We start from the raw sequence: 24416 nt of genomic DNA, 5'->3' as shown, positions 1-24416 counted from the left end.
AGGTTGGAGGGCACGACCCGGAAGGAAGGAAGAGGCGAGGAGGGAAAGGCGGCGACCCTAGGCCCGCTGGCCAGCCGTTTCCAGCATCAATTCAGCACTGAGCCGGCCGCAGCAGCACAGGGCTGGGGGCTCCCGGAGCTGCGGCCAGCCGGGGTTTCGGCCAGAGCCGCGGAGGCTGCCCGGTGGTAGGTGCGACTCTTCACCTCTCCGGGGAGCGGCGGCCGACGACCCAACCCACCCGCAGCGCTGCCGTCGGCCCGGCTGGTCCCCCGCGCGGGCACAAAAACAGGCGGCAGTTCGCCAGCTCTCTTTTCCCAAACCTGAACCGCCAAGCCGAAGGTTCTTCCAAAGTCGCGGTTCCCCGGGCTTCACACCCGCCGGGCAGGCGCGAACCAGCCCCAGGACAACCATTTTCCTCTTCACTGTATCTGAGTCGTTGTCCATCTGACTCGAATGTCACCTGATTTTCCCAGCTGTGACCTCCAGCGACGGGACTCCGAGGAACTGATTCCAGCGTCTCGATTCTCTCCGCCTCTCCGCCCGTTTTGGCTGAAGCGGTTTGCAGCCGTCGGGGCAGAAGGGGTGGGATGTGGCAGCCACCAGCCCCAGCCCAGAGAAGAAAAGAGGACGAAATTAACGCGAAAGGACACCGGAAGTCTGAAAGCGACTCCCTCGGATCCTCGGAATCCGAGGCAAACCCTAACACTAGTTTGAAAGCGGATCATATCCACTAATCCAGGACAAATTCGGGTTGGGAAACATACTCCCCAGAGCCTAAGAAAACTGACTTACAACAAAACAAAACTGACAAGGACAAAATGCAAAGGAGTTTGTGAAACGTAATTGCTCTCAGAAAATATGTGTATATATATACATCCTATAATATGTTTTAAATTTGCAAAAAAAAAGTCTCTAAGAGGATATATTTTTAAAACCAGTGGCAGCTTGGGAGGGAGTGGGGATTAGCTGAGAAGGGGAGAAGGAAGCATTTTTGAGGTGACGTAAATGTTTTTGTATCTTGATTATGGTGGCTGTTATGGGGGTGCACATCCAAGTGTCAAGACTCATCGAACTGTACACTTTTGTTCTAGGTACATTAGACCTCAATAAAGTGGATTTTAAACCTAAATAAGCCAGGTAACAGCTTTGCCTGGGTGGCTGGGGGAGAGGCTTGGGACACTTTACATTGATCTCCCTCTTAGGCATGTTCGTTTTGGTTTGGTTTTGTTCTTATGATGTATTATTTATTCAAAAATATATCATTAGCAGAGTGACTGATGTAAATGTAAAACCATTGTTAAGGAAACCAACAAAAGCGGGAACAAGAGACACTGGTGCATCCTGTTAGAGGGATAAGAATAAGCACTCGCTGTCCAAGCTCATAAAATATTTTGGAAATGAATGTCGTTCCGCTTTGTTTTTTTGGTTTTTTTGCTCATGTGTTTAACATCAACGAGAAATGAGGACCCAAAACTTATCCAGTGGTTACGTGTGGTGTGTGTGGCTGTCATCTCCTTGGGACTGGCTACTGAAGGCCACAGGCGTGGGAGGACCAAATGCTCCCTGGATGTTGAGTCCCAGCCGGTAAGCAGCACACAGTCCCGCTTGCAGCAAAGATGTGGTGGCCGGCTGCGCTGTGGGGGAAGGCCAGGCCCGGACAGGAACCTCAGATCTCACCGGCGGATGAGAGTGGTGCCCCCTGCAGCTGGAGTCCCTGCTGGCCTGAGAGGCTCCAGGCTGTGCCACCGTTGGGCAGACCCCACACTTCAGGGAGCTGCCAGGATCAGTGGCTACAAGAGTCCCCACCGTGTTTGGAGAAACTAGGTATGAAATATTTCCATTTACACCCCTACCCCGGCCCCAGACAGGAAAGTCACTTCAACCTTGTTAGGTCAGATTCCAGATCTGGTTCAGATGCAGGGCTATTTCAGAGAGATTTTTAGAGGCTGACTCTCAGGAGAGGGAAGGACAGTGGGCTGAAGGCCAGGGGTCAGGAAATCTAGGAACTGCTAAACTCCTCTGCTGGCCTGCGGGGAGCGCCCGGGTGGGGCTACCAAGGCCACAAGCCAGTTCCATCTTCCCACTTTGCCACCTTCTCACAGGGACCAGGCTCTGCATCCTCAGTGACCACAAGACTTGGGCCTGCCCTCTAGTTTGTCTATACCTGCCCCCTCCCTTGACTCATACTGTCCAAGACCCCAAGACCAAACCACAAGTCAGGAGAGATCTTGAGGGCAGCCAGTGCCACCAGGGTCCTGTTCCCAGGTACTACTAGACAAAGGCCACCCTTCCTCCCCTCTCTCTAGGGCTCCGCTGACCACCCTGCACAGTCTTCCTACACCACGGGCTCCGCTGCCACCCCTTCACAGAGAGTTCACTGCACCGCTGCTTCGGCTGCCTGTCTCAAACCATACACACACCTTTGATTCTTAAACTCCAAGATTAGGATGGGCCCCAGAAATCTGCATTTTTAATATGTACCTCAGAGGATTCTGGCCTAGATATTTCTACAGCCCCAAAAGTAACAAGGAACCTGTTCCAAAAAGTGTATTACGGAAACTGTCATGTTTATTCTTGACTTGCCCCCCAATTATTCTTCCCCTGAAGTTTTCATCACCAAAAAACCCCACATGTGAACCATATGTGTACATATGCCCATATTTAAAATACAAATTCTGCACCTGGTTTGCTATTTAAAGTATCTCAAAACATATCCATAAGAATACATATGAATGGAACTAATTCTTTCTCATGGCATATGGTATTCTGTTCTATTGGTACAACATAATTTTTTAACCAGTCCTCAGGTATATATACACTGGTTTTTTTAACATGTTTTGATTCTTAAAAAAATTAAAAACGGTGATGAAAATACTTTTCTTTGCATATATGTATATACCTATAGAATGGAATCCTAGAAATGAAAATATTTGTTCAAAGAGCTTATTCATTTTTAATTTTGGCAGTACCACATTGCTCCAAAGAGGTTTACCAGTTTACAATGTAGAAGCATGACGAGGCAACTATTACACTTTTTGATCTTCGTCAGTCTGATAAGTAAAAACATTTGCCTCTCTGTGTTTCAATTTGCATTTCTTTATTTCTTTTTATTTTTTCCAGCAAGGCTCTGATACTCTTGGTCATTTTTCAAATATTTTTGCTGGATCATTTTCTTATTGATTTACAGGTATTCTTTCCAAATTGTGGAAATCAGTACTTTGTCATGTATTTCTAGCATTTTTCCTGAGTACAGTTTTCTGTTGGATTCTATTAATGGTATTTTTGCTGTGCACAGATTTATTTTTATGCAATCAGGTTTATATAATTCATCTTTTATAGTTTCTAGGTCTTTTGTTCTCTTAATCCCCCTCTCAAATATAAAAGCACTCCAAAATTATTATTTTAATTATCTGTAGCACTTTTGTGTTTCATTTTTAACGTCCAAATGTTTGATCTATCTGAAATTGAATGTATTTGGTATAAGAAAAATCCATCACATTTTCCTTACGTTAACATCATTTTATTTTGAAAGCATATTGTCATATAGACCATCCCTCCCCCCACCCCAAATAGCATAATATTGCAATTGGCGGGGACTTCTCATCTTAACCAGTTTTACTTTGTTGGTTAGACAACTACCCACGTGCCTGTCTACCTCTGCCCACTGTCCAGGTGAGTTCAGGTAACAACCTGGGATGTCTCCCAGGATAGTGTCGCTGGAAAGGAACGCTGTGTACACCTCATACCACCAAGGAGACAGACACAAAACTGGGGACCAGACAGGAAAAGAGACATGCTCAAGATGAGCCAACTGCTGAAAAGGCAGGACCACACCCACCGCGGGCTCAGAGGCCAGCGCTCTTTCTGACACACGCCTGCCTTTTTCAGGGTCTGTGCATCTTGGGCTGTGCAACCCCAGCACCTGGTACATAGTGGGCACCCACTCAATGTAGGTGAAGGGATGGAGAAAATCAGGCCAAGAATCCAACAGTGACCAAGCTGTGGAGTCACTTGGCAGCTGGGTGAAAGCTACGGTCCACTCTTTTAGCCTCTCCCCTCACAGCCACACACACACACACACACACACACATACGCACAGTATCCACTAGCCATGTGGATCTGCTCTTTCCTTCTGTGGGCTCTAGGCCCTTCCTATGGCTGAGCAAGTTTCCATGGACAGCTCTTAAAGCAGCTTGGAGACTTTCTGTCTGTCCTAGCTGGCTAGCAGGGGGCTGGGGAGGGGTGGGGGGTGAGGGAAGGAAGCCAAAACCCAGCTAGGCAATAGAGAGTTAGTATTTCCAGTGCTCTGCTCAGACAGCCCAGAAAGCAGGATTGACTACATAGTTTGTGGGCTCAGCGCAAAATAGAAATGTGGAGACTCTGCTTAAAAACTTATGAAGAGTTTTAAGACAGCAACAGCGGAACATTAAACCAAGCTCAGGCCCTGTGAGACTGCACAGATGCCATGCCCATGAAGGATAGGGTTAATTATGGAGGAGGGGGAAGGGCCCTTTCAAGGACTCTAAAGCTTCAGACTGTAAGGTAGAAGTGGGCTGGAGGGGTATTCATAATAGACAAAATGTGGAAATAACCCAAATGTTTACCAAGTGATGAATGGACGAAGTGTGGCATAGACATACAATGGAATATTGTTCAGCCATTAAAAGGAACAAGATGCTGATACGTGCTACAGCATGGACGAACTTTGAAAACATTATGTTAAGTGAACGCTGCGAGACACAAACAGCCACATATTGTATGATTCCATTTGTATGAAATGTCCAGAACAGGCAAATCTATAGGGGCAGAAAATAGATTAGCAGTTGCCTAGGGCTGGGAAGGTAGGAGAGGGGATTGGAGTTGATGGCTAAAGACCACAAGTTTGTTTTTGGGGTGATAAAAATGTTCTAAAATTGTGGTGTTGGTTTCACAACTCTGTGGACATACTAAAAATCACTGAACTGTATACTTTAAATGGGTGGATTGTATGGTATGCGAATTATATCTCGATAAAGCTGTTATCAAAATAGGAGAGGGAAGGGAGAAGGGAAAGGAAAAGTGGGAGAGCGAGGGGAGGGGAAGGCGGAAGTGAAATGAACGCATGTTAAATTCCTCTCTCCCCCTCTCTTTCTCAAATGAACTTTATGCAGGAAATCTCCCTTGTCTATGAAGGTTGGGGAGACCTGGCATCTCAAATCCAACAGCCTGGTCCTCTCCCCTGGCTGCGGGGTGGGGGGTGATGGTGGGGGTCTTGCTCTTCCTCCAGTTGGTACGGTCTTGGGCGCAGCGACGTGTAATAAAAGAAAACAGTCTCAGCTGTGCAGTCAGCTGTGTGTTCGAATCCTAACACCCTGACACTGTCCTTTCCCATCTGTGTGACCCTGAGCAACTTACTCCACGTCTCTGAACCTCATTCTCCTCAGGCCTGCAGTCGGAATAAGAGGATCCGTGACGAGATCCGTGAGAGCGCCTGGCACACCCCGTGGGCACTGAACAAGCGTGGAAATGAGAAGGATTTGGTGCCAGCTGAGCCACCTGAATGAGGCGAGTCCCGAGGCAGGAAAAATCCGGTGCCGCGGAGGCCGCCTGGACTCTTCCGGAGCCAAGGGCGAGGTCGGCGGCCCTCAGAGTCGCCCCCCGCCCCCAACTCCCGGCCAGGAAGGAAGCCGGGCGGCGGAGGGGCCCAGCGCGGAGGCGGAGGCGGAGGCGGAGGCGGAGGCCGAGGCCGGGAGTCCGGCGCGCAGCCGGAGCTGCTCATCCATCAGCCGGACGAAGAGCAGAGTCGCGCTCTCGGCCCTCTGTTTGCTTTCTCGCCAATTATTGCAGCGCCGCAGCCCCTTTGTTGATACAGTAGTCCGAAAAAGTGCTAATGTTCATTTATCAGGGGGCCAGCCGGGGACTCCCACGAGTTGCGATTCTTCCCAAAATATAAACATGGGGCGAGCGTCCCAGACAGAAACTCCCATCTGTTTCCCCCGCGCGGGCCGAGAGCGAGGCGTTGTTGAAGATAAAGCCGCGGATAACGCCGCCTGTCTCCAATGGACGTCTCCCCAGCGCATTAATGACATTCCCGGTGATAGTTCCAGCTTATCTTTCAATTAATCATATATACCTTTTGCGACCAGCCCTGCTGATTGCACGAAAGGGGGGCCGGCTCCGGCTGCGCCGATCGCTTTTCAATTAATAATAATTTATTCACGGAGAATGCGCTCGAGCCACCCTGGAATTTGGATTATCTTAAAGCACCAACTCTTTAAAAGTCAAGGAAATACACAGATAGATTTTCGATCTCTTCTCTCTCCTTTTGTCTCTCTCTGCCTTTCTCTAGGCTGAAGGCTGTTTGTTTGTCCTGCTAGTTTGGTCAAAGTGCGGCGCAGAGAGGCGGCCAGGTTGGGTCAGCGGCCCTTGGGAAAAAAAGATGTGTCCCTGTTGGGGGCCAGAGAATCAAGTTTCCTCCCACCCAACCCCCAACTATTGCAATTTCTATTTAGATCTATTTAGAGGGATTTTTTTTTAACTCACTCGGAAACAGTGAGGACTGGAAAGAAAAGCTGCAAATGGCTCTCGGACTTTCCTCTAAGGAGACCAGCATGGGTCGCCCCAATTTCTATTTTGCACGTATTTGTCCGTTTTTGCCCCATCTCCTCTCTCCTGCAACACCAAGACCTTTTTGGAAGCCAAGAGAAATCATTACCCGATTCACAAAGAGCATAGAGAGTGTAACAGTCACTGATCTTGTTCAAATAGGGAGAGTTTTTTTTCCTTCCCTTTTTGTAACACCTGACCCACAGGACTGACAGTTCTAGGAAGCCCCCTTACCCGAAAATAGGAAATAAATCCTTGCCACCTTGATTTGCAAGGGCAATGCTAATTTTTTTCTTTCTCCAGAGCTCTCAAAAAAAAAAAAAAAAAAACCTTACTAAAAACAGGGATCCCGGATGTAGCCTCGATGTCCCCCATTAAACGGTAATATTTCAGGCGTCCGCTCACACTAATCTTTCAAACTGTCATCGCGAGCCGCCTGGCCAGCAGATTCACTTAACAGCGCTCCCAGGACCCTCGTTCCGAGCTCTTTTCAGCGAGACATTTAATTGAATCGGATGTGGCTCGTTTGCCAGACGTCACCGCCTCGGCGATAGGCATCCTCTCCAACGACACCCCCCCCCGCCCGCGCTCGAAAACAATCTTCAAAGGCAAGGCGGGCCCCCAAGCTAGGTTAATTTACAGCCATAACGGTAACGTGGCCAAAAGTCCAGGCGAGGAAGGGCCGCAAGGCCGCTGACATGCAGCTCCGTCCAAGGAGAATTTGGGTTGGGAGGTGAAGAGGTGGGGGGACGAGGTTTCCTGGGCCTTGAACGCCCCACATTTAAGAAAAGGCATCCTCCACAGACTAGACTAACAATTCCAGACCCCCAGTAGTCCCTGGCTCAGAAACTCGAGGCGTGATTTCGGCGTGGCAGCCCAGGCCTGTTACTGACGGCTGGCGCCTAGAAGCCGGGGTCAGGGCGTTGCGCGCCTCCTGGGCTGCCCTGCGGGGCTCACCTCTCTCCCCAGCATGGAGGCCCCAGGTCCTGGGAGTGTGGCTTTGATGAGGGACAGGAAAAGTCCCAACATCAGGCCAATGCTTGACTTCACTTGCGTCGGCGTCTCAGACGGCACACTGTCGGGTTTGAGCACCCAAGATGTACGTTCTGGACAGACACTATTTTGTCCCCATACATGGAGCGTTTCCTCCGCACCTTGGGCGCGCCTGCGGGAGCTGTGTCTTTAGGTAGTTTTTGGCCCTGCGCCGCCTTTATTCTACTCCAAGCGCCTCTTGCCAACCCGCACTCCGCAAAGAGCCAAGCCCTCCACATCCCCATTCTCAGCAAGTCCACGCGTCCCGCCCAGCTTCCCGCCCGCGGTTCCCTGTACCAGCTAGGGCCGTGAGAAGCCAACGCTTTTCCACTGACAAATCCTGTCATCCCCAGCTCTAGAAGGCGTCCTTAACCTGGGCCCGCTCTGCCTGCCCGGACTCCTGAATTGTAAGCAAAATAAAACTCCTCTCTGCAGTGTTCTGGGGAATGGAGAAGACCCCAAGCTTTCATCAGACCTCCCAAGGAGTGCGGGGACCCAGAGAAATGAGGCCACCCGGGCAGGATCTGGCCATGTAGCTGGCGCTCCTGAAACTCTGGCAGATTTGTCTGACTTCTGTGCCCTACTCTACTGACCCTGGGCTAAAAATGATCATGATCACCCCACTTGCCCTGCCCTTCCCCCACGCGCCTGACCGAGCCGCAGGGGTGCCCCACTGGAAGTCCGGCCCAGAGGCCTCAGAGAAATCCTGGCCTAGCTGGGCTCAGAGGAGCCCCGCCTCCCTGAGAGCTAAACCTGGGCTAGGACCCTGAAACCTCGAGGTTGGCAGAAGCCTGAGGGCCTTGCTGCCAGGCAGGGAGGGCACGGGAAGGAGGGAGGTGGGATCGATGGCCTCCAAACAGGGGAAACAAGGTGGCTGGTAGCTGGGGCACTCCACAAGACAGGTGTCTCCTGGGAAGCTGAGCTTACCAGCTGGGATTCCTGATTTATTTCATTATTAAGGGGAGAGGCATTTCCCTGGGAGGGTACTGGCAGTGACTGATGCCCCCTGGAGTTGTGCTGTGCATAACACTACTGTAGGAGGCAGCAACTCCTACCCCACCTGGCCATCACTCACCTTGCCCTTACTTTCGTTGACTCGCCCAGAAGCACCCAGAGCCTGCGGCATGACTGACCCTGTAGGCCAAGCCAAACCAAACCCCCGAATTGTCCAGAATCTCGCCCTGCTGCTATCCCCAAAGCCAGCCCTGTCCTCCAGGCTTCTCTTCCTATTCAGACTCTCCCTCATCCCACCACCTTCAGTAATAAAGCCTTCCTCAAATCACTCTCCTCCCCACCGCTTCCCACCCCATCCTTCTCTCTCCCATGCTGGTTTGGGTGCTGAGGAATATTTCTTCAAACCCACACCCATCCAGCCCTGCCCAGAGGCCTGACTCTGCATGCCTCTGGTAGGCTTTTCAGGCTCACATTAGGGAGCAAACGCAGGCTGCAGGAGCAAAAGGAGACCCTTCCAAATGCGTCGTGGCCCCTTTAAAAAAGCTGGGCAGGGCTTTTTTTTTTTTTTTTTTTTTTTTTTTTTTTTTTTTTTTTTGCCGTATGACTATATTAGGTGACACGAAACTGCTCATCGCTCCTGTCATCGAGGCCCCTGGCCCAATGGCAGGCTGAGTCCCCCTCCTCTGGCCTGGTCCCGCCTCTCCTGCCCCTTGTGCTCAGCGCTACCTGCTGCCCGGACACATCCAGAGCTGGCCGACGGGTGCGCGGGCGGGCGGCGGCACCATGCAGGGAAGCTGCCAGGGGCCGTGGGCAGCGCCGCTTTCTGCCGCCCACCTGGCGCTGTGAGACTGGCGCTGCCACCATGTTCCCCAGCCCTGCTCTCACGCCCACGCCCTTCTCAGTCAAAGACATCCTAAACCTGGAACAGCAGCAGCGCAGCCTGGCTGCCGCCGGAGAGCTCTCTGCCCGCCTGGAGGCGACCCTGGCGCCCTCCTCCTGCATGCTGGCCGCCTTCAAGCCAGAGGCCTACGCTGGGCCCGAGGCGGCTGCGCCGGGCCTCCCAGAGCTGCGCGCAGAGCTGGGCCGCGCGCCTTCACCGGCCAAGTGTGCGTCTGCCTTTCCCGCCGCCCCCGCCTTCTATCCACGTGCCTACAGCGACCCCGACCCAGCCAAGGACCCTAGAGCCGAAAAGAAAGGTGAGGAGGAAACACAGGCCCCCTTCTCCCCTCCTGGGTCGCTTTCGTCCCCAAGAAACTCAGGGCCAGGAGGAGGAGACACGCGCCCTTGGGCCGAGGGCTGGGCTGCGGCGGGGGGTTCAGAATGTAAGATGCCTGGTGTTGTCGCCAGGCTCCCGCGCCCCGCGTCCAATCGGAGGTTCAGAGGAAATGCCGGATTGAAAGGATCAGAAGCAAGAGACCAAAAAACGTTTCCCCCCGGCCTAACAAAGCCCCGGGCGGCTTCGGCTCTGCTCCTGGGTCTGGTAGGAAGTTGAGAAATCGGTTTATGGTAGACAGAACAGAGAGACAAGCAGATAATCTCTGTTTTTAAATCTCCTTTGGATTTACGAATCTTTTTAAAGATCTGATGAGAACCGCTAAACAGAAATTGAAATGTTGCTCACCAGACAGCTTTTGCGTACAATCGGAGGAGGGTCCTGGACCTTCTTTCTGCAGCCCACCCACGACCCGGGTTTCTGGTGCCTTTCTTTCTTTGCGCCAGGAAAGTGGAGTCTGGGATCGAGGGCCTTGATTTTAAAATGGGATACTGCGGACCCTCAGGAATCTGACTTCACTTTATTTTTTCAGCACAACTTGCCGGCGCGGCCAGGGCGGAGAGGTTCCCTCGTGGAAAAGTTAGGAAATGCTGCGCTACCGCGGGCACAAGGGAGTGGACGAGATGAGTGCGGGATCATCCCGCAGGCCATCCCAGGATCGGGGAGGGAGGCCGGCCCCGCTGCAGAAAGGGGCCTTCTGGGAGACCCCCCAGCCCAAGGCAGGAGCCCGGGCGATTCCCGGGAGGCCGCAGGCGCTGGGCGAAGCGCTGGGCGAAGGGCCGCTGCCAGCCGGGAGAGAATTCATAGGTTTGTTGAGGAGCAGAGGCCTGGGAACAAATTCGGGCGGGCACGGCGGCTAGAACTGATCGCTACCAATTCGAGGAAGCCAGCAAGGCAGGTTCCGAGGCCGCCTGCCCACCCGCAGCTTCTTGGACACTGCGCAAACCCTGCTGCGGCCAGGCTGGAGCCTCCGATCACCAAACCAACACTCCCTGGCCTTCTGTTTCTTGATTCCTTAATTTTGAGATAAGACCGTCCCTAGCAGTGAGGCCTCGGCCTCTGTTCATTTAACTTCTCAAACCAAACTAGCCCTAATTCAGTTCACCCCAGAGCATCACCTGGTTTTATTTTTATTTTTTTATTTTTTTATTTATTTTTTTTTTTTTTGCAGCCTGAAATTTTAAGTCACCGTCTGTCTCCCTCACCAGGGTGTGAACTGCCCCGAGGGCAGAGACCTCCCGTTTTGTTCTCCAGCGCCTTGAGCCAGCCTGACTTTCTACAAATGCTGAGTGAGACGTGTCGGTGGCTCCCAGTGCACTTGGCAGAGTGAGCCGCAGCCAGCTGGGCGCTCCAGGCAGGACACAGTGGCCTCCACGAGGATCCCTTACCATTACTGTGCGGCCGCGCTCCGTAGGTCAAGCCGCTCTTACCAAGCGTCTCTCTGCCTCTCTGTTCCCCCTCAGAGCTGTGCGCGCTGCAGAAGGCGGTGGAGCTGGAGAAGACAGAGGCGGACAACGCGGAGCGGCCCCGGGCGCGACGGCGGAGGAAGCCGCGCGTGCTCTTCTCGCAGGCGCAGGTCTATGAGCTGGAGCGGCGCTTCAAGCAGCAGCGGTACCTGTCGGCCCCCGAACGCGACCAGCTGGCCAGCGTGCTGAAACTCACGTCCACGCAGGTCAAGATCTGGTTCCAGAACCGGCGCTACAAGTGCAAGCGGCAGCGGCAGGACCAGACTCTGGAGCTGGTGGGGCTGCCCCCGCCGCCGCCGCCGCCTGCCCGCAGGATCGCGGTGCCAGTGCTGGTGCGCGATGGCAAGCCATGCCTAGGGGACTCGGCGCCCTACGCGCCTGCCTACGGCGTGGGCCTCAATCCCTACGGTTATAACGCCTACCCCGCCTATCCGGGTTACGGCGGCGCGGCCTGCAGCCCTGGCTACAGCTGCACTGCCGCTTACCCCGCCGGGCCTTCCCCAGCGCAGCCGGCCACTGCCGCCGCCAACAACAACTTCGTGAACTTCGGCGTCGGGGACTTGAATGCGGTTCAGAGCCCCGGGATTCCGCAGAGCAACTCGGGAGTGTCCACGCTGCATGGTATCCGAGCCTGGTAGGGAAGGGACCCGCGTGGCGCGACCCTGACCGATCCCACCTCAACAGCTCCCTGACTCTCGGGGGGAGAAGGGGCTCCCAACATGACCCTGAGTCCCCTGGATTTTGCATTCACTCCTGCGGAGACCTAGGAACTTTTTCTGTCCCACGCGCGTTTGTTCTTGCGCACGGGAGAGTTTGTGGCGGCGATTATGCAGCGTGCAATGAGTGATCCTGCAGCCTGGTGTCTTAGCTGTCCCCCCAGGAGTGCCCTCCGAGAGTCCATGGGCACCCCCGGTTGGAACTGGGACTGAGCTCGGGCACGCAGGGCCTGAGATCTGGCCGCCCATTCCGCGAGCCAGGGCCGGGCGCCCGGGCCTTTGCTATCTCGCCGTCGCCCGCCCACGCACCCACCCGTATTTATGTTTTTACCTATTGCTGTAAGAAATGACGATCCCCTTCCCATTAAAGAGAGTGCGTTGACCCCGCACGTGTGCTTCTTTCAGCTTGCGGCGCTTCAGAAGCAGGAGAGAGGTGGCCGCCCGGGACTGGTCTCAGATCTCAGGCACAGGCATTCCCTGAGCAAATTGATAACATTGATACTAATAAAACCTAACCCTTGCTGGAACCATACTGGTTCCGTGTCGGGCACTTTCTGAGATTGTCTCATATAATCCTCAATAATCCAAAAAAAAAAAAATCCTAAAGTTTAGAAGCTGAGGCCCGGAGAGGTTTAATGACTTACCTGCGAGCAAATAGCCAGTACTAGTCGAACTCTGGTTAAATTCAGGATGCCTCACTTCAGAGACCGCCTTCCCTGTGCTCCCAAGCTCCCCTCCTTGAATCCTAATGTGTGCCAGGCACGGTTCCAGGCACTGGGCATTAAATGGACAGCAAAAGAACCTGGGCCCTCTGTAGCTGGAGAGCACCGTGATCATCCCACTTAAAAGAACTCCTTAGCCTGTTTCCAGATGGAAAAGCCAAGAACCCAAGCCCTTGGCAAGCGTTCTCAGGCTCCTCAGATGCCCCCAGATGCCACGTCGGGGCCTCATCAGCTGCCCGTGGGACTGAGTGCCGAGGCTGGACCCCAGAGAGGTGTCCTGCGGATGGTGCTCACCTCCAGCTGTGGTGAGGCCCCATAAATTCACATGGTCAAGGGAGCCCCTAAGCCCTAACCTTACTGATGTCCTTTCCTTAGGGCATTTAATTTCACCATAGTTCTGACCAACAAATGTTACTAGTGTCCTGATTTTATAGATGAGAAAACTGAGGCTCAGCGAAATCAAGTTTAAACCCTGCTTGTTATGGGACTTGCCCACTGCATGCCTCGGTGGTGGTGGTGGCGGTGGTGGTGGTGGCGGCGGCGGCGGTGGTTGCTCTTGTTTGTCTGTAAAATGAGGATAACAAACACACCTTGCTCGCATCCAGGATCGCCAGTCAGCAGGTGCTGGGACCGGACCTCCAGCTCCTCTATCACCAGCCCCAGAGCCTGAGGAACTGACCCAGGATCTTTTTAAGATACGTCTTTAAAAGGGACCAAAGCCAGAGGGAGTTGAGGATTTGTTTTCTCACTGGATATGGGTTTTTCTGATATTTTGCCCAGGAAGCACTGAGTTGGAGGCCTGGGGCATTGGGGCATCCGGCTGAGAGCTCCCTGACACAGCCAAAGCATTGCTTGTGGCAGCCAGGAACCGAGTGCTTCTCAATGTTCCCCTGACTCCCAGTAAGGGTCGCCAGGCTGGCCTGGCACAACCAGGAGCTGTCCTACTGCCTCACCAGGAACCATGCAGCCCCGCCAGCGCCTGTGGTGTCTCTCTGGGTAAGTGCCACACGCCCGTGGAAGAGGGGAGGATGCCAGGAGGTTCTAAGTACAACCACTGTCTATACCCAGTGTTACCACTGGACACAGTAGGATACAAGGGCAGTGGAGTGCAGGCAGTCTACCATCACAGGGTTCTGGGCTGTGCTGTGGGAAGGAAGAGGAAAGGGCTGTGCTCAAGGCTTGGCTGAGTAGAAGAAGGGACCTGAAGGTCTGGGCCAGCTGGCAGCTAGAGAGAGCCATCAGGAGTGGGAGCCGGATGATCAGCTCAGCCCTGGCATTCCACCTCCTGGGCCTGTGACCCTGCTGCGAGTCTTTAACATGTTCCTGTCTCAGTCTTACGGAGGGACACACTGAGGCTCCTCCAGGTTGCCAGACCAGCTCCTAAGCAGGACGGTGCTCTCCTGCTAGGCAGCCCCAGCCCACAGCCCCAGCAGGCCTAACTCACACAACTGGGAAATTCTTCTATCCGAAATGACCCGTATTTGCTCTTAACCAGATCGCTGTGGCCTCCGTCCCGCACTCCTGTGGGCCTTTTTCACCTTACAGGTGTCTGCAGTAGCATTAGAAACAATATTTATTTCACTTAACGTTATACCACGAGGATTTCTCCATGATACTTCCCTCTTTATGTGTCATACTCTCCCTTGGGGGACCAGCTGAGTGACCCAGGATCTCCTGCAGCTTTCCCAAGGCGCTCACAAAGGCTAACAACGGCTGGCTGGCATCTGCCAGGGCTCACCAAATGCCAGCAACCCCAGCTAAGTGTATACAGGAGTTCTCTCACCGAACCCATCTTCATTTGCAGACCGGGAAACTGAGGAGGTTACGTGGGTGGTCAAGATCATCCAGTCTCTAAGCGGGAACGGGAGCTGGGAAACACACAGGACACATACTGGGGAGAGTGTTCCTGAAGCCAGAGCCCGCCACACTGTGGATGTCTCTCCAGTAAAGATGCAGACAGAATGGCTCCAGGCCGCGCTGAGCAGAACCCAGACTCTTGCCAGTGGGGTGAGGATCTCAGGCCTCACATCCAGGCTCATGATGGGGCAAGCTGTAGACGGCAGAACTCAAGGAGCCGGCAGGGACTGCCCTTGCCTGGCTGGGGCGAGGCTTTCCTGCGTGGATGCTGAGTCAGGGAGCGAGGACTCAGGCCGGGACAGGGTCAGAAGTATCCTAAAGTAACAACACCCCGTGTTTACATGGCGACCCCCACCCCAATTATATCGGTGATATTTGTTCTGTGTTCAGTTGCTAATTGTATAAACGACGCATTCAGGGTAAGAAAACTCAACCGGCTCAGAGAAAAGCAAAACAAAGGAGAAGTGTGGGGCGCCTCCGAGGTGGCAAAGCCAGCGGAGATGAGGGTGGCGCAGGCATGAGCTCTCCATGCCTAGGGCGCCAGGGAGGCACCTAGGGGACTCATTTTATTTTTAGTATTTTTTAAAATCGAACAAGAACACGCCGCAGTTAAAAAAAATGGAGATAAACAGCGATATTAAAAGGAAAAAATGGGGGAAGGAAGGTAGGTTTATTTAAAAAAGAAAGGGAAAAAAATTAGCTTGGTGGTTCCCGGCAAAGGCGAGCCGGGGCTGGGGGTCCCCAGCACGAGGCCACCGCCTCCCACCCGGCCCCCGCCGCACTGGCTCCGCCGTCCCTTCGTTTCCTTGGGTCATTCCCAGCCCGCAGGCACAGGTTCGGCCAAATCAGAATAGCTCCCGTCCTTTCATTTTGTTTAGATTTCACCTTAAGTCGACGCCACGGTGTGTATCTAAATACCTGTATTTTTAAAGGACGCGCGGAAGCCGCAGGTTTCACCGCTGACTCGGAAACATCACGCGGTCCCGCGCGGGAGTAGCACCGTCTTCCCCGCAGCGCCCGCCCCTCGCATCCTCCGGGAAGCATTCCGAGCTCAGGCCCAGCGCTTCTACGCCGCAGGCAACAGCCTTGTGGCCTCTAAGCCTTGCCGACTCCCCTACCAGGCTGAGCTCCTGGAGAAAGGGGCCTGTGGCCTGCCTTTAATTTATCACTCACAGAGTTTATCGCGTGCCAGGCACTGTTCTGAGCTCTTTACAAGTGAACCCATTGAATCCCTTTTTATACCTCTGGGTTATCGTGAGGAAACAGATGAAGGATTCATTTTAAACCCAGAAAGAAGGAGTACGTTGCCCAGGGTCACACAGCTGGTCAGTGTCAGAGCTTGGTTTCAAGCCCAGGCAGGCTGGTTCCAGAGCCCCAGTATGTAGCGTGGTCCCATCCCAGTTCAGGACTGGCAAAGAGTAGGCGCCAGGAAATGTTTGTCCATTAAAGAGTACAGACATGATATTAGCTAACAATTCCTGGATGATTTCTATGTGCCAGGCACAACAAATTACCAGAGAAGCACACTTATTATTCCCTTTGAGTCTGAGAGGAATCTCAGACGGGATGGTGGCAGCTGGGACTCCAGGGATGCAGCCCGGCCCTCTTGCTGCGACTCAGAGGAGAGCTCACCCCAGTGGTGAGCAGTGAAGAGACCCGAGGGCGAGACCCTCAGATCACCATGGGCTCCTCACCCTGCTGCAGCCCACAGCTGCGTGGAATAACAGTATGGATTATTGCCTAACATCTGTTGGTGCTTACTTTGTGCCAGGCCCAGGGCTAAATGCTTACCCTGCAAATCTCATTCTGTCATTTTCCAAGGAGGAAATTGAAACCCGGAGAAGTTAAAAACATCACCTACCTAAGGCCACTCCAGTAGTGTGGAGTGGGGAAGCTGGTGCTGGGATCCAGATGGTTCCAGAGAGCCCTAGCTCTTCAACCCACTCTCAGCAGCTCCCAAGCCTGCCCAAAGAGACAAACTGCCTGGAGGCCGGGACAAACCCAAACCCCTGCCTGCCCCAGCTGCCTTGAACTGGACTCCCCAGGGACAGGGCCTTCAAAACTGCATTGGTGTCCAGATGATTCTCATCATTTGGCAGGTTGGAGAACCGCAACCGCCACCAGCAGAGGCCCCAGACTGCACGGGCTCCAGTTCTTGAGGGCCTGCAAGAAACTGGAGTCAGATTTCCCCTCTCCAGGCCCTGCTCTTCTATCTCAGGGTCTCTGTGTGTTTGCTGTGATCCAATGGCTGAGGCACAAGCCAGGCAGCCCTGGGGACCCCGGGCAGGAAAGTGGAATGGTGGAGGCTGGGAGAGGGACTCTGGGACATGCCCGTCTCAGTCTGGACCCCAAAGCCATCCCTGTGGCTTGTGAAGCTCAGGTCCTGCCAGTGCTGCTTTGGAGAGAAGAGCAATTTGGGGGGAATATTCCGAGACAGTCCATTTCTTCTACCCAGATCCTAAACTCCACACCGGAGTCCTGCAGGAAGCAGACTAGGAGCAAACCAGCCTCCGTGGGGGCTTATAGTATGCCAGGCTCTCTGCGTGAGCTCACTGAAGCTTTGAAATCTGCTGTTCATTGTGGAGTCCATTTTACAGATGAAGAAAGTGAGCCTTAAAAGGGTTTTGTCAGGGCCGGGCGGGGTGGCTTACGCCGGTAATCCCAGCATTTCAGGAGGCAGAGGTAGGTGGATCACAACATCAGGAGATCGAGACCATCCTGGCTAACACGGTGAAACCCCATCTCTACTAAAAATACAAAAAATTAGCCGGGCGTGGTGGCGGGCGCAGTGGCAGGTGCCTGTAGTCCCAGCTACTCAGGAGGCTGAGGCAGGAGAATGGTGTGAACCCGGGAGGCGGAGCTTGCAGTGAGCCAAGATCATGCCACTGCACTCCAGCCTGGGCGACAGAGCAACACTCCGTCTCAAAAAAAAAAAAGGTTTTGTCGGGCCAGGCACAGTGGCTCATGCGTATAATTCCAGCACTTTTGGGGGCTGAGGCGAAGGATTGCTTGAGCCCAGGAGTTCAAGACCAGCTTGGGCAACACAGGGAGACCTTGTCTCTACAAAAAAAATCAAAAAATTAGCTGGGCATGGTGGTGCACGCCTGTGGTCCCAGCTACTCAGGAGGCTGAGGCAGGAGGATCGCTTGGGCCCAGGAGGTCGTGGCTGCAATGAGCTATGAGTGTTCTGCCGCACTCCAGCTGCACTCCAATCTGAGCAACAGAGTAAGACTTTGCCTCCAAAAAAAAAAAAATTTTTGTCACTTTCCCTATTCCTGCAGTTAGAAAGTAGCCAAGCCAAGTTCCATGACCAAATGCCCTTCTTTCCAGTATACCCTAAACTATCCTCACCTATCTTGAACTCCAGCTCAGCAGACGTCTTGAAATGGACTCATATTAGCCTCACAGCACTCACCTCACCCCCTGCCCCTGACTGGTTTTCTCTGCCTTCAGCTTTTCAGGTGAGATCTTTAAAATAAGTGGCTATAGGCTGAAAGTGCCTCCTGCAATTAACCAGTTTACCCAGGCCCTGGACCGCCAAACAGCTACTCAGCTGCTTAAACTGGCTCATAAGTACAGACCAGAGACAAAGCAAGTGAAGAAGCAGAGGCTTTTGTCCCAGGCCAAGAAGAAAGCTGCTGGCAAAGGGGACAGCCCCACTAAGAGACCATCTGTCCTTTGAGCAGGAGTTAACACCATCACCACTTTGGTAGAGAACAAGAAAGCTCAGCTGGTGGTGATTGCACACAACGTGGATCCCATCAAGCTGGTTGTCTCCCTGCCTGCACTGTGTCATAAAAGGGGGGTCCCTTACTGCATTATCAAGGGGAAGGCAAGACTGGGGCGTGTAGTCAGTCCACAGGAAGACCTGCACCACTGCCGCCTTCACACAGGTTAACTCAGAAGACAAAAGAGCTTTGGCTAAGCTGGTGGAAGCTATCAGGACCAATTACAACGACAAATATGATGAGATCCACCGTCACTGGGGAGGCAGTGTCCTGGGTCCCAAGTCTGTGGTTCACATCGCCAAGCTTGAAAAGGCAAAGGCTAAAGAACTTGCCACCAAACTGGGTTAAATGTACACTGTTAAGTTTTCTGTATATAAAAATAATTAAAACAATACAAATTTTCCTTCAAAAAATAAAATAAGTGGCTATATATGGAAAGGAGTCTGCATTTTCAATTAATGCAACCATTCATTATTCATTATTGTCCTTCTGTGGCCCTTCATAAATTCCCATGCAATCTCAGCAATAGGAAACATGTATTGCTAACAATGTTAGCTTAGCTTTCTCCTTACAAAAAATTGTTTTAGGGATGGGGTCTTGCTCTATTGTCCAGGTTGGGCTTCAACTACTAGACTCAAGCAATCCTCCCACCTCAGCCTCACAAATAGCTGGGACTACAGGTGCTCCGTCATGTGTAGCCTCTTCCTACAAATTAAAAAGAATAGCTTCCCCTTCCCCCAACTCCAGGCAAATTTGATGCTTAATTATCACCATATTTGTTCTCTCTGGTGCCTATTTTCACATCTTTCCATGATCCAGATTTCCTAACCACCTAGTGTAAACTCTTCAAAAGCCTTTCAAAAAGATTTGAGGCTTAAACAGTGTAAATAAATAGATGATGGTTTGAAATATCCCTAAATGTTTTCCAGATTCAGTGCACTCTCAATCAAAGTGCTAAGAGTGCATTTGTGTATTCTGTAACGTCACAGCTGAATGGAAATTTCACATGGAAGTGTAGAGATCTAAGAATAGCCAAGAAATTCTTTTTTTTTTTTTTTTTTTTTTTTTTTTTTGATGACAGGGTATCACTCTGTCACCCAGGCTGGAGTGCAGTGGTGCAATTATGGCTTACTGTGTCCTCGACTTCCTGGGCTCAAGCTATCTTCCCACCTAAGCCTCCTGAGTAACTGCCACCACAGACGCACACCACCATGCCCAGCTTATGTGTGTGTGTGTGTGTGTGTGTGTGTGTGTGTGTGTGTAGAGGTGGGTTTTCCCTATGTTGCCAGATTGGTCTTGAACTCCCGGGCTCAAGCAATCCTCCCACCTCAGCCCCCCAAACTATTGTGATTTCTGGTGTGAGCCACCGTGCCTAGAGTCCAGTCACACAGGCTGGAGTGCAGTGTCATGATCTTGGCTCACTGCAGCCTCAACCTCCTAGGCTCAGGTGATTCTCCCACCTCAGCCTCCCAAGTAGCTGGGACTACAGCTGCATACCACCATGCCTGGCTAATTTTTTGCATTTTTAGTAGAGATGAGGTTTCAGCATGTTTCCCAGGCCGGTCTCAAACTACTGGACTCAAGCAATCCATCTGCCTCAGTCTCCCAAAGTGCTGGGATTATAGGCATGTGCCACTGCACCCAGCCCCAAGACATTCTTAAATAAAGAAATAAGGAAAATGAGGTGGGGGGTTCTTTCCTATCAGTTAGCAAGGCTTGTAAAGCTATGGTAGTTAACACTGTGATACTGACACAAGGGCAGAAACATAGATCAATGAGAGAGAACAGAGTGCCTAGAATCAGAAGTATACATATACAATCCATGAAAGGGTTAGTTTTGTTTTGGGGGAAGTGAGATTTGGTTTTTTAATTAAAAGAAGTTTTTTTGAGACAGCGTCTTGCTCTGTCACCCAGGCTGGAGTGCAATGGCACGATCGCAGCTCACTGCAGTCTTTACCTACCAGACTCAATTGATCCTCCTGCCTCAGCCTCCCAAGTAGCTAGGACTACAGGCGCGCCACCACGCCCAGCTAGTTTTGTTGTTGTTGTTGCTTATTGTTATTGTTGTTGTTTGCAGAGACAGGGTTTTACCACATTGCCCAGGCTGGTCTTGAACTCCTGGGCTCAAAGGATCCTCCCACCTTGGCCTCCCAAAGTTCTGGGATTACAGGCATGAGCCACCACACCTGGCCCAGAGGTATTTTTGAAGTTCAGTGGGGAAAGGGTGAACTTTTCTATAAGTGGTTCTCCATAAGATTTAGAAAAAAAAGAGAGAGAGAGAACATCATTCACAAAATCAGATCAAGGTTAATTAAAGGCCCACCTATGAAAAGCAAAACTATGTAACACTTAAAAGACAACATAGAAAAATATTTTATGACCTTATGTTAGGAAAAGATTACTGAAACATGACTCCAAAAAGCACAAACCTTAAAGGAACAGCTGGACTACATTAAAATTAAAAATCTACGCTTAAGCCCAGGAGTTAAACCCATACTCCCCAAGACACCACACATAGAGTGAAAAGGCAAGTCAAGCCACAAAATAGAAGATATTTGCAATATATATAGCCAACAAAGCATTAGTACCAGAATATATCGTGAAATCCTAACACTTCCTGGCCACTGCACTCCAGCCTCTCTGACTTCCTTACTGTTATTCCGACAAGCCTGGCAATTCCTGCCTCAGAGTCTTTGCACTGGCTGTTCCCTTTGCTTGGACTGTCCTTCCCCCAGAATGTCTGCCTGGTGAATTCTTCATCTGCTTCCAGTCTTTACCTAAATGTCACCTTATCATGAGCCCCTTTCTGAGTACCCTATTTTAATTTGCACTCCTATGCACATACTCCTGGTAGCCCTACCTTGCTCTGATGTGTTTTTTTTCCATTAGACTTTATCATATCTAACATATTCTTTTGTTGAATGATGTATATCCCAAGCACCAGAAAGAGGGCCTGGCACTTGTAGGAGCTTAGAAAAAAATGATGCTGAATAAACAAATGAAGACAAATTACCGAAAGGGGGAAAATGGGCAGGAGAAATGAACAGGGATTTCAAGGAAAAGGAAGTACAAATGGCCCCAAAATATATAAAAAAATATACTCTGTTTATTACTTAGAAAAACAAAAAGTCATGATGAGACAATACACTTCATATAACAGATTGGCAAAAATTAGAATTGGGATAGAGTAGGCATCAGTGGGAATTCTTCTGGTAGGGGTGTAACTGAGGACAAAGACTTTAGAAGCCAGTTTGGCACAACTTAGTAAATTTGAATACGAGCCTACCCAAGATCCAGCAATTCCTCTTCTAGGAATATACACCAGGGATAGTCTTGTATATGGGTACCTAGAGACATAAGTAATGAAGTTCAAAACAGCCTTGAGTGTAAGGGTATGTCCTTGAAACCACCAAATTGCCTATCAACAGTTGGACAGAGTTATAATTAAGTTGTAGAAAATTCACAGAGTGGAATATTATACAGCAGTGAAAATGAAAGTGCCACAGCCACACTCAACAACATGAATCAATCTCAAAGATGAATCAATGCTCTAAGGTGAGCAAAAGAAGCAAGTCACTGAAGAATATAAACAATGTGATTTATTTTACATAATAGTCAAAATAGGCAAAACAAAATGATGTTTTAGTTAGGGATGTGCACCTGGATTTCAAAACTATAAAGAAAAACGAGGGAATGATTAACTCAAAATTCAGATAGTGGTTGCCTCTGGGGGAGAGAAAGAAAATGCAATGGGAAGGAGATTTCAATAGGAGCTGTGGGGCACGTTATTGTCTATGTCTTGGTCTGGGTGATGGGTACTCGTTCATTTTATTATTCTTTAAGCTATATATGTACATGCTCTTTATTTTTATTTTACTATTTAACTTTTAATTGAGGTAAAACTTACAGTAAAGTGCATAAGTCTTAAGTGTTCAGCTCCACCTAATTTTACAAACTATAATACTCTTTTGTTTATGTATGTAGCATACTGTATTTTACAATTTTTTTTGAGATGGAGTTTCGCTTTTGCTGCCCAGGCTGGAGTGCAATGGCATTATCTCAGCTCATCGCAACCTCCACCTCCTGGGTTCAAATTATTCTCCTGCCTCAACCTCCCGAGTAGCTGGGATTACAGGTATGCGCCACCACACCCGGCTAATTTCTGTATTTTTAGTAGAGACGGGGTTTCTCCATATTGGTAAGGCTGGTTTCAAACTCCTGGCCTCAGGTGATTCGCCCGCCTCCGCCTCCCAAAGTGCTGGGATTACAGGCATGAGCCACCATGCCTGGCCGTATTTCACAATTTTAACATGCACTTCCAAAATTAATCATGGACTTTCACTACTTCACTTAGAATCAGAAGGCTCCACTTAAGATATATACATGCACGCATACATACATATATATATATGTACACACACACACACACACACACACACATATATATAAACATTTTAAACAAGGTCTTGCTGCCACCCAGGCTGGAATGCAGTGGTGCAATCATAGCTCACTGCAGCTTCAAACTCGTGGGCACAAGCAATCCTATGTCAGCCTCCTGAGTAGCTACTACTACAGGTGCTTACCACCACACCAGCTAATTTTTAAATTTTTGTAGAGATGAGATCTCGCTTTGTTGCCCAGGCTGGTCTAGAACTCCTGAGCCCAAGCGATCTGCCCGCCTCGGCCTCCCAAAGTGCTGGGAGTACAGGAATGAGCAGCAATATAACATTGTCAGAAAAAATTATGACCCTTGTGCCTAAACAACTCATAATTCATTTTTCTCCCTTTCAAAAGTTAGTACAGAAACGCATTTATAACCAAATTTATGAGATTAAATAAGCACATTTTCATCATTTACTCAAATGTTCATCCTTGTTTTCAGTAGATTCAGATGACCTGGAATTCCCCACCCCAAGCCCACCCACCCATTGTCTTCTGAAAACAATCACTTCCAGCTTGTGAAATAGTAAAATTTCACTAGGTCAAAGGTTCTCAAACATTTTGGTCTCAGGAAGCTTTTATATTTTTTAACAATTATTGAGGGCCTGGAGTGGTGGCTCATGCCTATAATCACAGCACTTTGGGAGGCCGAGGTGGGAGGATCACTTGAGGCCAGGGGTTCAAGACCCACCTGACCAACATGGCAAAACTTGGTCTCTAATAAAAATACAAAAATTAGCCGGGTGTGATGGCACATACCTGTGATCTCAGCTACTCAGGAGGCTGAGGCAGGATAATTGCTTGAACGCTGGAGGTGGAGGTTTCAGTGAGCCAAGATTGCATGACTGCACTCCAGCTGGGTGATAGAGGGAGACTGTCTCAAAAAAATAAATAAATCATAATAGGCCAGGCATGGTGGCTCACACCTGTAATCCCAGCATTTTGGGAGGCTGAGGCCGGCGGATCACCTGATGTCAAGAATTCGAGAGCAGCCTGGGCAACATGGCAAACCCTTGTCTCTACTAAAAATACAAAAATTAGCCAGGCGTGGTGGTGCACACCTGTAATCCCAGCTACTCGGGAGGCTGAGGCAGGAGCATCACTTGAACCCAGGAGGCAGAAGTTGCAATGAGCCGAGATTGCACCACTGCACTCCAGCCTGGGTGACAGAGCAAGACTCTGTCTCAAAAATAAAAATAAAAAATTATTGACAACCCCAAAGAGCTTTTGTTTAGGTGGGTTATATCTCTTGAGATTGATCATGTTAGAAATTAAAAAGTGAGAATTTTGTAAACATTAATATTAATGTTTATTAATATGCATTATTAATACTAATCAATTTGTGACTAGTTACTAATTCATTTCAAAATTATAATACACTCATTACATGAGCTCTGAAATGAAGAATGAATGAGAAGCAAAGATAGATGTAAATAAGTAAGCAAATGTAAGCAAATCCTGACTATAAAGTGTAGGGTTTAAAAAGGGGGAAGCTGGCCAGGCACAGTGGCTCATGCCTGTAATCCCAACACTTTGGGAGGCCGAGGCAGGAGGATCCCTTGAGCTCAAGGAGTTTGACACCAGCCTGGACAACATGGCAAAACCCTGTCTCTACAAAAAATACAAAAATTAGTAGGATGTGG

The 24416-nt window shown here is 50.5% G+C and overlaps 1 protein-coding gene and 1 pseudogene across 4 annotated transcripts, besides 4 other annotated features; both read left to right on the top strand.

Annotated features, from left to right (window-relative positions):
- Positions 5242-5815: an enhancer, noted in NCBI's record as "H3K4me1 hESC enhancer chr5:172665705-172666278 (GRCh37/hg19 assembly coordinates)". NCBI's record gives its function as "activates a minimal SCP1, AML or CMV promoter by ChIP-STARR-seq in naive H9 embryonic stem cells {active_cell/tissue: H9 hESC(naive)}" and the evidence as "EXISTENCE:reporter gene assay evidence [ECO:0000049][PMID:30033119]".
- NKX2-5 (NK2 homeobox 5) lies at positions 9311-12408 on the top strand. Of its 4 annotated transcripts, none has more exons than NM_004387.4 (2): positions 9311-9767; positions 11308-12408. In NM_004387.4, the coding sequence occupies exons 1-2, from the start codon at positions 9434-9436 to the stop codon at positions 11946-11948; spliced, it is 975 nt and encodes a 324-aa protein (NP_004378.1). In that variant the 5' UTR covers positions 9311-9433; the 3' UTR covers positions 11949-12408. The 4 variants fall into 4 exon arrangements, with proteins under 4 accessions (NP_004378.1, NP_001159648.1, NP_001159647.1 ...); NM_001166176.2 differs by having other exon boundaries at positions 11053-12408; NM_001166175.2 differs by having other exon boundaries at positions 11016-12408.
- Positions 10632-11511: an enhancer, noted in NCBI's record as "H3K27ac-H3K4me1 hESC enhancer chr5:172660009-172660888 (GRCh37/hg19 assembly coordinates)". NCBI's record gives its function as "activates a minimal SCP1, AML or CMV promoter by ChIP-STARR-seq in naive and primed H9 embryonic stem cells {active_cell/tissue: H9 hESC(naive and primed)}" and the evidence as "EXISTENCE:reporter gene assay evidence [ECO:0000049][PMID:30033119]".
- Positions 11512-12391: an enhancer, noted in NCBI's record as "H3K27ac-H3K4me1 hESC enhancer chr5:172659129-172660008 (GRCh37/hg19 assembly coordinates)". NCBI's record gives its function as "activates a minimal SCP1, AML or CMV promoter by ChIP-STARR-seq in primed H9 embryonic stem cells {active_cell/tissue: H9 hESC(primed)}" and the evidence as "EXISTENCE:reporter gene assay evidence [ECO:0000049][PMID:30033119]".
- Positions 14665-15331: an enhancer, noted in NCBI's record as "H3K4me1 hESC enhancer chr5:172656189-172656855 (GRCh37/hg19 assembly coordinates)". NCBI's record gives its function as "activates a minimal SCP1, AML or CMV promoter by ChIP-STARR-seq in naive H9 embryonic stem cells {active_cell/tissue: H9 hESC(naive)}" and the evidence as "EXISTENCE:reporter gene assay evidence [ECO:0000049][PMID:30033119]".
- On the top strand, positions 18089-18741 carry RPL7AP33 (ribosomal protein L7a pseudogene 33; annotated as a pseudogene).

This window comes from Homo sapiens, chromosome 5 (genome assembly GCF_000001405.40).
Source record: "Homo sapiens chromosome 5, GRCh38.p14 Primary Assembly".
NCBI classification, from domain to species: domain Eukaryota; kingdom Metazoa; phylum Chordata; class Mammalia; order Primates; family Hominidae; genus Homo; species Homo sapiens.
This window is presented reverse-complemented; position numbering and strand designations above follow the sequence as displayed.